The sequence below is a fragment of the Homo sapiens genome, chromosome 1 (assembly GCF_000001405.40).
Source record: "Homo sapiens chromosome 1, GRCh38.p14 Primary Assembly".
NCBI classification, from domain to species: domain Eukaryota; kingdom Metazoa; phylum Chordata; class Mammalia; order Primates; family Hominidae; genus Homo; species Homo sapiens.
In genome coordinates, this window is record NC_000001.11 from 66836618 (window position 1) to 66849262 (window position 12645).

At 36.3% G+C, this 12645-nt stretch overlaps 1 protein-coding gene across 13 annotated transcripts in view; it reads right to left on the reverse strand.

Annotated features, from left to right (window-relative positions):
- Window positions 1-12645, reverse strand: part of DNAI4 (dynein axonemal intermediate chain 4) — a 111972-nt gene that overhangs the window by 23733 nt on the left and 75594 nt on the right. For 6 of the 13 annotated variants that reach the window (XM_011542162.3, NM_024763.5, XM_047430749.1 and 3 more), the window contains 3 exons: window positions 10867-11061; window positions 3852-4054; window positions 1093-1179 (listed from right to left, as the gene is read on the reverse strand). In XM_011542162.3, coding sequence (XP_011540464.1) covers window positions 1093-1179; window positions 3852-4054; window positions 10867-11061 — 485 coding nt within the window. Of the gene's footprint in view, window positions 1-985; window positions 1180-3851; window positions 4055-10866; window positions 11062-12645 lie in introns of those variants that run through there. The other 7 variants (XM_017002353.2, XM_005271212.4, XM_047430731.1 and 4 more) reach the window with 4 other exon arrangements.

The following is a 12645-nucleotide window of genomic DNA, read 5'->3' on the forward strand; positions in this document are numbered from 1 at the left end:
CTGCTTTTAACCACCTACATAAAAAAGAAGACAGACTACTGATGATGAATCCAATGTCAATCCCTCCACATTTAAAATTGCTTCTTCTTTTCTTTTGTGCTATATAAACCCAGATCTATATGACATATCGCTAAGTTTATTCAAACACTGTTACAGCTATTACAGACTAGAGCTATTTATAAAAATTTTAGTCATTTTTATATGCTCTTCTGACCCTTCTCTAAGTTTTCCACTTTGCATTTCAGTTGTGAATTTAAACTAAATGTAAAACTTTAAAGTAACAGATTGACTAGGGCTCTTTAGCAAAATTACTACTATGATTCTTTATATTCATTCTCTTTGAAAAATGTATGACAGTAAGAAGGTCAGATAAATCTATTTCATATCTGTTCAGAATAACAGTCAGGTGATAAGGAGGTATTCATATATTAAGAAACAACCAGGTATTTAAAAAACATAATTTTCAGCTGGGTGCCGGTGGCTCACGCCCGTAATCCCAGCACTTTGGGAAGCCAAGGCGGCTGGATCATGAGGTCAAGAGATCGAGACCATCCTGGCCAACATTGTGAAACCCCGTCTCTATTAAAAATACGAAAATTAGCTGGGTATGGTGGTGTGCACCTGTAGTCCCAGCTACTCGGGAGGCTGAGGCAGGAGAATCACTTAAACCCCGGGAGGCAGAGTTTGCAGTGAGTCGAGATTGCGCCACTGCACTCCAGCCTGGGCGACAATGTAAGACTCTGTCTCAAAAAAAAAAAAAAAAAAAACATAATTTTCAAAGGATTTTCATTTAAGATTCATTTTTTCTTTATAATTAGCTGTGAAAATCAATAATGGTTCAACTCTTCATCATCATATATAACAGCATATAGTACACATTCAATAAATATTTACTGAATGAATTAATAAATGAATTATCTTTACCCTATGTCAACAAGAACAAATTTTAATTGCTATGAAGTTAAACCAAAGAAAATAGTCTTGATTGATAAAATTTTCTAGACTTTATTTAATTATTACATGTAATTATATATTTTATGAGAATTTTGTCAACAGCCAGATAAAAATGCTTCTTATTCTTGTTTGGGTTACCATGGGATTCTTTATTGACCAGCAGCAAGCCAGTCCTCTTTTTTGCTCTTTAAATCCAAAGTGCCCATAGCCAACAGCCAAAAGATCCTGAAAACCAGAAAAATACATTTAAAAATAAGAGAAGATAGCATTAAAATATTGGTAAATGTATAAAGATATATATTAATGAGCTGTGTTAAAAATAGTAGTAAGACATTTCATCTGAGAGGAAAAAATGCCAGTACACCATCTGTTTTTACTCTATACCTCCATATTCCTAAGCAAAAAAGTTAATGAGTATAATGCTTCTCATTTGCAGGCTGAAAGATAAGCACCTAAAAATAACCAATTGCTAACAAGTTCTTTTACATATTGAGGTAGTCTTCTGAGATTGTATTAATAGGTTATAATATATTCTGAGTTTTTGAGGATGACTTAATTATTTCAAATGTAAAATAAAGGACACTTAAGTTAAAGGTAGCTGCCATAGACTGAATTGTGTCCCCTTAAAATTTATATGTTGAAGGCCTAACCTCCAATATGATTGTATGTGGAGATAGGGGTTTTAGAAGGAATCGCAGGTTAAATAAGATTATAAGGATGGGGTCCTAATGTGACAGGACTGGTGACTTTATAAAAAGAGAAAAACACACCAGAGGTCTCTCTCTGCCATGTGAGGACACAGTGAAAAGGCAGCCACTGCAAACCAGGAAGAGAGCTCTCACTGAAACTGAATCAGCAGCCCTTGGATCTTAGACTTTCCAGCCTCCAGATTTATGAGAAAATAAATTGCTGTTCTTTAAGACACCCAGTCTATAATATATTGTTACGGCAGCATGAGCTACCTAATACAGGAGGTCATTTCAAGAAATGCATATGTAAATACAAATAGGCAAAAGCTTAATAACTGAACAAATCCAGCCTCTGCTGTGTAACCAGAATACCTTTAATTTTAGAATATTATATTTTCTTATCACCACCTTACTTTCAGGCCAACGTAATCTCTCCATAATTCCCTCTGTCTTAAAAACAGTCTTCACTACTATATCCTTTCACCCTGACATTGACATATCCCTATTTATCTCTTCTAGACGCTGCAGAGGCATTACTTTCTCTAAGAAACATTCAAGAGCTTCTTGTATGTGTCCCCACAGCACTGTTTATTTTCCTCATCATAGCACATTTGAAATTATTATATAGGCAGGGTCTATGTATAACTTCATTATTACTGTATCTCTAGCGCCTTAACAGTGTGCCAGGCACAGAGTTAACGTTCAACAAATATTTATACAATGAATTAATAAACATAGACTCCATCTGTAATATGTTTGTATTTAGGCTCATTCAAAATTATTTAATTTAATCTCCATAGCAATGCATTAATTTTTAAAATGCTAGTATATTCAGTTTCTAAAAATGTTTCATATATCTTTATTACAGATCTATTAAATCCTATTTACAGGACAGGAATGGTAGCTCACACCTGTAATCCCAGCACTTTGGGAGGCCAAGGCGGGAGGATCACTAGAAACCAGGAGTCCAAGACCAGCCTTGGCAACAAAACAAGACCCCCATCTCCCCAAAAAATTAATTAATTAAAATTAATTCCACTAATCCACAAGACAGTCCCAAATATAGTTTTATAAAGATAAATTCATTATAAAAGTACTTTACTTCGTTACAAAATAATACACATAATTAAAATAATGTGTTATTTAGGTTTCAATGGAAATGATTATAGACTTTCTGTTTTTTAATAACTATGACAACTGTCTTGTTTGCACATAGCACCTGATAAGGTGTGGCAATAAAATAATAAGGCTAATTCTTAAACATACAAAATATAATATAATTTAAATAAATTGGTTTTGACTGCTTCAACAATATAAATATTTATATCAAAGATACTGCCATTGCCTGAAAAATTGTTGGAATTGTTAACTGGGAAATATCTTCAGAACCAGTTTATAAACCCCAGAAGAAAATTAGTCTAATTACTCTATAATTATCTCTTTTTTACAACCAAACATATAATTCTCCAACTTGACAATTCATCTTATTTGCCTCAAGATGACTTTTGTCAGTGCAGTAGTTAAGAGCAAGAACTATGGAGCCAGATGTTTGCATTTGAATTCTGGCTGTTTCACCTACCAGTTGTGTGACTTTGGGCAAATTATTTATGCTTTTTGTGCTTCAGTTTCCTTTCAACATAATGAGAAAAATAATAGTACCTAATTCATAGGGTTGTTGTGTTAGTACGGTTAAAACACAATAGTGCCTGCTATATACTAAGTGCTGTTTAAGCTCTTGCTAATATCGGTGGTAACAGTATTTTAAAGAATCTCAAAATTATTTTGCACACTTGTAAGGTCACTAGATTAAGTATACACTTCCAAATATGACTACTTTGAAGCTAATATAAATTTGGGCTCATCAGTTTTGGTATACGTTGAATAAATATACCAATCGTATAGTTTACTTATTCATATCTAACATGAATTCAGAGAATGCCATGTCTCAAGTATATCCCCTAAAATAAAAATGGTAATGTTTTACATATTAAATGTTTACTATATTAAAGGGGAAAAACATTATTTTGTAACTATTTGCATTTCCCCCTTTTTAAACTGGAACTTGTTTTAGGGGCATTCTAAAACTCAAAGTTATGGTCAATTTAAATTCCTTGTGCCATATCTAAGGAAAACAATTCTTCATTATTCGAACTTGATAATTTCCCTTCAATGCTAGAAACAGAATTGTTCAAATGTTTGATAACTTACTGGATTTGTTTTATTCCAGGCAAGGCTGCTCACATTGAGGCCTTTGGTTAAGTCACAGGAAAAAGACCAAAGTCGTTCCAAGTTGGCGGGTATTGTTGATTCTTCTGCATGTATTTCTTCTTCCTCCTCCTTCTTAGATTCTTCCTCTACCTCTTCATGTTTTGCACTTTCTAAAACATCTTCAGGCTCTTCAGGTTCAGGTTCTAAAGTTTAAACAAATAAAAAGATCATTGTCCTCTACATCTATAGGGACCTGCCAAAGGCTCCAAACAGCATATCTACCCACCACTGACACTTCAAGCACCATCAGATCTGCTGGATCATATGGTGCAAGTGGCAGGGCACCATGAAGGGCAGCCTGGACCTGTGGCAGAGTCTTCTGCTGTTCTGGGTTCCAACTCAAAGCCAGCAGCTTTTCTGTTTACTCAGTAAATGGGCCAGTGTAGCACATCCAAATGACAAATGTGTGGTCTCTAAAATGTAAAGAGACTCACTAGGCATTGTGCTTCTTTTCTGTTGTAAAAGGTGCCAGGTACAACTTATCCTTCACCTTAGAAGATACAGCTCAACATATCCCACACCACACACACAGGACACCCAGAAACTTCACTGAGGTAGAAGCCCCTGAAATTTTGTCAGATTTACTTCCCACACTCTGACAGGAAAATGTCTTACTGAAGCCTACTTCCTGTTTACTAAGTTCAACCAGCATATCATCCATTTAATGTGCTAGTGTGTTATCTTGTTGAAGGGAAAGAGCTCTGCAGACTAAATTATGATACAGGGCTAAAGAATTGATATACCCCTGAAGTAAGACAGTGAAGGTATATTGCTGGCCTGACCAGCTAAAAGTAAATGGCTTCTGGTTGTTTTTTACCAATAGACATTGCTGGAAAAAAAAGCATTTGCCTTGTCAATAGCTATGCACCAGGTACAAGAGAGATGTCTTAATTTCCTTAATGAATGTCTTACGGAACAACAGTTGCAATTGGAGTCACCAACTGGTTAAGTTTATAATAATAATCCACTGTCATTCTCCAAGATCCATCTGTTTTTAAATTTATTTATTTTTATTTTTTAGAGATGGGGGCGGGGGTCTTACTCTATTTCCCAGGCTGGTCTTGAACTCCTGGCCTAAGCAATCCTCATGTCTCAGCCTCCCAAAGTGCTGTGATTACAGACATGAGCCACTGCACTTGGCCAAGATCCATCTCTTTTCTACATATGCCACATATGTGAGTTGAATGAGAAATGTGGTGGGTATCAACATCCCTCCATATTTCAAGTCCTTGACAGTGGCAGTAATCTCTGAAGTCCCTCCAAGAATGTGCTACGGCTTCTGGTTTACTATCATTATCATTCAAAGTCCATAGTTTTACATTTTAAATTTTAGGGTTCACGCACAGTATTGTATATTCTATAAGCTTTGACAAACGTGTATAATGACATGTATCTGCCATTGTAGTACCATATGGAATAGTTTCACTGACCTAAAAATCTTCTGTGTTCTTCCTGTTCATCCCTCTCTGGTCCCTCGTCCCTGGAAACTACTGACTATTTTACTGTCTCCATATTTTGCCTTTTCCCAAAACGTTATATAGTCGGAATCACACAGTATGTGGCCTTTCAAATTGGCTTCATTTGCAGAGTAATAGGCATTCAAATTTCCTCCAGGTCTGCTTCTGGCTTGATAACTTAGTGATGAATAATATTCCATTGTCTGGATGTATCATAGTTCATTTATCCATTCACCTACTGAAGGGCATCTTGGTTGCTTCCAAGTTGGGGCAATTATGAGTAAAACTGCTATAAATACCCATGTGCAGGTTTGGTGTGGACACAGTTTTCAGCTCATTTAGTTAATCAACAGGAGTGATTACTAAATCATACGGTAAGAGTATGTTTGGGTTTTTTTGTTTGTTTGTTTTGTTTTGTTTTTGAAGACAGAGTCTCACTCTGTTGTCCTGGTTGGAGTGCAGCGGCACCATCTCGACTCACTGCAACCTCTGCCTCCTGGGTTCAAGCAATTCTCATGCTTCAGCCTAATAAGTAGCTGGGACTACAGGCGCCTGCCACCATACTCGGCTAAATTTTTTGTATTTTTAGTAAGTAGAGCCAGGGTTTCACTATGTTGGCCAGGCTTGTCTTGAACTCCTTTCCTCAAGTGGCCTGCCCACCTCAGCCTCCCAAAGTGCTGGGATTACAGGTGTGAGCTACCACACCCAGACAAGAGTATGTTTAGCTTTATAAGAAACTGCCAAACAATCTTCCAAAGTGGATATACCATTGTGCATTCCCATCAGCATGAATAAGACTTCTTGTTGCTCCACATCTCCACCAGCTTTGAGTGCTGTCAGTGTTTTGGATTTGCCCATTCTAATTAAGTGTGTAGTGCTACCTCATTGTTGTTTTAATTTGCAATTCCCTAATGAAATCTGATATTGAAAGGTCAGGTGTAGTGGCTCACACCTGTAATCCCAGCACTTTGGGAGGCCAAGGTGGGAGGGTAGCTTGAGTTCAGGAGTTTAAGACCAGCCTGGGCAACAAAGCGAGACCTCATCTCTACAGAACATTTTAAAAAATTAGCTGGGTGTGGTGGTGCACGCCTGTGGTCTTAGCTACCCGGGAGGCTGAGGCAGGAGGATCGCTTGAGCCAGGGAAGCTGAGGCTACAATGAGCCGTGATTGTGCCACTGTACTCCAGCCTGGGTGACAAAGCAAGACTCTGTCTCAAAAAAAAAAAAAGGTGGGGGGTGGGGGGGAGGAGGAGGAGGAGGAGGAGGATGAAGAAGAACAAGAAGAAGAGAATATAATAATATGATGTTGAGTATCTTTTTGTATGCTACTTTGGCATGTGTATATTTTCTTCAGTGAGGTATCTCTTCAGGTCTTTTGCCCATTTTAATCATGTTGTTTATTTTCTTATTGTTGGGTTTTAAGAGTTCTTTGTATATTTTGGATAATAGTAATGTATCAGAAATGTCTTTTGAAAATATTATCTTCAGTATGTGACTTGTCTTCTTATTCTCTTGACAGTGTCTTTTGCAGAGCAGAAGTTTTTAATCTTAATGAGGCCCAGCTTATCAATTATGTCTCTCAATGGATCATGCATTTGGTGTTGTATTTTAAAAGTCATTGTAAGATCCAAGGTCATCTAGTGTTTCTCCTATGTTATCTTCTAGGAGTTTTATAGTTTTGCATTTTACATTCAGGTCTATGATCCATTTGAGTTAATTTTTGTGACAGGTGTAAAGTCTGTGTCTAGGTTCGTATTTAGTACCATTTGTTGAAAGACTATCTTTTTTCTATTGCCTTTCTTCTTTTGTCAAAGATCAGCTGACTATATTTTGGCAGATCTATTACTAGGCTCTCTATTCTGTTCTATTCTATATATTTGTTTATTCTCTTGCCAATAGCATGCTGTCTTGACCACGATAGCTTTATACTAAGTCTTGAAATATTAAATACCTATATTAGACAAGAAAAAAATGTGAAATCAATGATCCAATTTTCCATTTTAAGAAACTAGAAAAGGAGCCAGGAACAGTGGCTCATGTCTATAATCCCAGAGTGGGAACAACTCTTATTTAAAATGGTGCTGAAACAACTGGAGATTCAAAAAAAAAAAAAAAAAAAAAAACTTTAAACCTTACCTTAGTCCATTCATAAAAAAAATTAATTCAAAATAAATAACATGATAGATATGTTAACGTGCTTCACTATAATGATCTTTTTACTATATATATTTATCTTAAAACATCATGTTGTATACCTTAAATATACACAATAAATATATTAAAAATAAAAATAGGCCTGGGCGCAGTGGCTCACACCTGTAATCCCAGCACTTTGGGAGGCTGAGGCGGGTGGATCATTTGAGGTCAGGAGTTCAAGACTAGCCTGGCCAACAATGGCAAAACCCCGTCTCTACTAACAATACAAAAATTAGCCAGGTAGTAGTGGCGTGCACCTATAATCCCAGCTACTAGGGAGGCTGAGGTGGGAGAATCCCTTGAGCCCGGGAGGCGGAGGTTGTGGTGAGCTGAGATAGAGCCATTGCACTCCAGTCTGGGACAGAGAGTAAGACTCTGTCTCAAAAAATGAATAAATAAATAAATAAATAATCCAATATAGATAGTAGACCTAAACATAAAGGCTAAAACTATACAGCTTCTATAAGAAAACTGAGAAGTACAAATTTGCAAACTTGGGGCAGGCAAAGATTTGTTAGAGAGCTCATGGAAAGAATTAATTACAAAAGAAAAAAATTGGCAGATTAGATTTCGCAAAAATAAAAAACTTCTGTTCATCAAAAAAATTTTAAGAAAATAAATTGGCAAGCCATAGATTTAAATATTTGCAAAATATGTAACTGACAAAGGGTTTGTATCCAGAATATATAAAAATAAGCTCTTACAACTTGATTTTTTAAAAGACAATTCAGGCTGGGCACGGTGGCTCATGCCCTGTAATCCCAGCACTCTGGGAGGCTGAGGAGGGCGGATCACCTGAGGTCAAGAGTTCGAGACCAGCCTGACCAACACGGTGAAACCCGGTCTCTACTAAACTACAAAAATTAGCCGGGTGTGGTGGTGGGCGCCTGTAATCCCAGCTACTTGGGAGGCTGAGGCAGGAATCACTGGAACCCAGGAGGTGGAGGTTGCAGTGAGCCAAGATCGTGCCTTTGCACTCCAGCCTGGGTGACAGAGCGAAACTCCATCTCAAAAAAAAAAAAAAAAAAAGAAAAATTAAAAAAAAAAAAAAAAAGGCAACTCAATTTTAAAATTGGTAAGAGACTTGACCAAACAGTAAACAGAAGATATTCAAGTGACCAAAATAAACCACATAAACAAGAACTCAGTTTTTAGAACAACACTAAAAGGATTGCCAGCATCAGGTGTTATAAAGAATGTGGAGCAACTGAGACTCTTATACATTGTTGTGGGAGTATAAGATGGTATAACCACTTTGGAAAAGTATTTCACTGTTTCTTAAAAAGTTAAACATATTCCCAATAATCCAATAATCCCATTTGTAGGTATTTTCACAAGAAAAATTAAAATATCCATTTACCAAAAGTCTCACACAAAAATGTTTGTACCAGCTTTACTCTTAATATCCCCAGACTGAAAATATGCAAGTGTCCCTCAGTGTGTGAATGGACAAACAAATCATTATGGTATATTCATCTACTAGAGCATTACTAGGAAAAAAATGAACTACTTATACATGCATCAACCTAGGAAATCTCAAAAACATTAATATTGAATGCAAGAAGCCAGACTCAAAAGAATACTTACTTTATGAACCCACTTATATGACATACCAGAATAGGGAAAGTTAATCTATATTGACAGAAATCAGAGCAATGCGTGTGTGTGTGTGTGTGGTGGGGGTTGGGGGGTGGGGTTAAGGTTTACTTGGAAAACAGCACAAGGTAACTCTTAGGGTTAATAGATATGTCCTCTGTCTTGATTAGGGTATTGGTAACTCTGGTTTATACATTTTCAAAATGTATTTTTATATACAATTTAAAATATATATTTCATTGTATATAAATCTTACCTCAATAAAACATTTGCTATGGTATTTTTATTTCTTAGATGTGTTGAAAGAAGTGATGTGCCAACAGTAACATTTACATTGTTACATTTACATTTTGTTTTGTAAATGTCAATATATACAGTACTATGTGAATTGCAACCTTACAACTCTTTAAATATAGGATGAAAAATCTATATATATAAGTGATAAAAATCTTTAAATATCAACCTAATATGAGAGAAGGAACACAGTTTTTCAATATTCTTCTAGATGCATGCAGGCAAAAAGATTTACAACCATTTGTCACACATACTATTCTGTAAACTTTTTCTTTTTAAATGTAACCATATAGATTAATTTTGACTTGAAGAATCAAGATAAATTTCATAAAGGAAGTTTCCTTAATCCATCTTTGAAAGCTGGAAATACAATAGGCAAACATGGGGTGGGGATAAGGGTAGACTGTCAAGCAAATTCCAACTAAAAGTACTAAGGCAGGAAAATGTAGGTTCTATTTGAGGATTACCAGATAAGTCTAAATATAGCTAACTTTTAGAGTCTCCAAAGCAATATGATAATACAAAGTAATCTGTGGCCATATTGCAGATATCTTTTGAATGATACACTTTGAGCTTTGTAATTTATTCTAGGCAATGTGAAGGCATTGAAGGTTTTTTGAGTGGTTTAGGATACATCAGCAAAGTGGGCTGATAAAGTAGAAAGAGAACTGGAACTTGAGATCAAAAGACCTTGGTTGAATGCCTAGCTTTTCCACTTACTATTAACCTCACAAAGTTTCTATAGCCTTCAGTTTCTTCATTCATGTATTTTTTAATACATGATTAAAGGTTGATTAAGATAATCTCTAAAATCCTTTAAAATATTCTGTGATCATATGAGATGCGATTTGTAGCAATGAGAACAGGAAGAATGCTTCTGCAATAGATTTGGGAGTAGTAATAAAAGTAAGAACTTAGAAAGTAACAATGACAATGGAAAAGAAGAGGTTGAATATGAGAGATACTATAAAAATGACTAAGTAATTGAATGCAGGAATAAGGGAGAAGAAAGAGCTATAGATGCTTAGGAAGTTTTGAATCTAAGACAATCTGCTTCTGTGGGCATCCTAGTCTGGACTCTAGTGCTACTCACGCATTTAGTGCTGAAAGCTTTAGAAACATGTCCTCTGATAATGATAACTCAATCTGGAGATTACATTTAGAAATATATACTAAAACCCTTACATTTTAAAAATTATTTGAGTTTGTCTAAACATGATATCTTCTTTTTCTTTTTTTAAGAGACAAGGTCTTGCTCTGTCACCCAGGCTGGAGTGCAGTGGCATGATCATAGCTTGCTACAACCTTGAACTCCTGGGCCCAAGCAATCCTCTTCCTCAGCCTCCCAAAGTACTGGGATTATAAGCATAAGCAACTGCACCCAGCCTAAACATGTTTATTTTTTTTAAATACCTTTTAAAACAGGAAGCTGACGATAAGCTGCAAGTTTGGGCTGAAATATATTTTCCATCAGAACCCGTTCCATAAAAAATAAGTCCTGATGAAATTTGTCAGATTTTAATATTGCATCTGAGTGGTCTTCCTCATCTTCATGGATTTTTGCCAGAATTACATTTTCTATGTCCATTAGAGAACTAGTTTCACTATCTACAAAATACAAACATGATACAATGATAAAATATTCAAATGGATGGTTCATACATTCTAAAGATTTTAAAAATGACATTTCATCATTTGTATTTATTTTCCTCCAGTTTCCAACAACTTTAATAGACATTTATTGAATATCTTACGTACCAAGCACATGAAAGATGCACATATCTCATTTTGGAATTCTTAACCATCAAAAACTGTACTATTTTTCAGAAGATAGGCAATGATAACCTCCAGAGGTAATTTTTGTCTTTATTCTTTTAAAATTCAAGTTGAAATAAGATGATCAGCCTTCAGAAAAAGGTCTGATTTGATTATTGCTATACAGAAATACTATACTATTGTATTAAGTTTTCTCTTGCTGCTGTAACAAATCACAGTGGCTTAAAACAATGCAAATTTATCTTACAGTTCAGTAGATTAGAGGCCTAACAGATGTCACTGAGCTAAAACCAAGAAGTTGATAGGGCTTTGTTCCTTTCTGAAGGTTTTAAAGGAGAATTTGTTTCCTTGATTTTTTCAGTTTCTGGGGGCCACCACAACCTTTCCTTCATCTTCAAAGACAGCAACATTGATTGCATTCCCGCTGACCTTCTTCTGTCATCACGTCTCTCTCCCAGACCACAGCTGGAAAAGATCTTTTACTTTTTAGTACCCCATGTGATTAGACTGGGCCCAATAAGATTATCCAGGATAATCTCTCCATCTGAAAATCCCCATTGTAATCACATCTGGAAAATCTCTTTTGCCATGTTAGGTAACACATTCACAGGTTCCAGGGATTGGGGTGTGCACAAATTTCTGGGACTATTGTTCTGCCTACTGCACTACTTAGTAAACTCTTATTTTAAAAACAGAATGAAGGAAACTCTTGCTTCTTTATCTTTATAGATAGAGGGAGCACACTTTTCCCTATTCTTCCTGCTAAATTCAACTAAAAACACTGGAAATTTTAGAAAACAACAAACATAAGCAGTCTTTGAAAGGTGAAGAGAAGGAATGGGTATATATATATATTCCAGATATGGAGCTGAAGAAGTCAGCAACCTGGGAACACTGATGGGCACAGGCAAGAAAAAAATCCCCAAAAGAAGCCTCCTCTCTTTAGCCAAATGACCAGGAAAAGCATAGCCTTGAAAGAAAGAAAGCTTTTAGATGGCAGCCATTCTACTCCAGCCAAGCACAGAAAAAATTGTAGCCCCACCCATGTGACGAAGGCCTAGAGGGAGCCTAGTCTTACACCCTCACTAGGCTGTAACAAGGTGTCCCAAATCCCTGACCTTTCACTGTGTATGGTGTCAGAGAAGGCCCAGCAGGCAGGCAGGACTTTCATCCCTACCAAACATAATGATAGTGGTCCCCTTCCTACAGTGTCAGTGGAGACCAGCTGGGGATCCTGGAATTCCAACCTATCCAGTAGTAACAAAGTATACCTCCCTCTTCCCACTGGAGTAGTCAGAGTTGGACTGGTGAAGAGTCAAAACTTTTATCACTCCCCAGCAGTAATGAGAACAACCTCCACTCTGTTGTGTCAGTGTAGGCCACATGTGTAGCACTAATGAAGCATTCTTATATCTC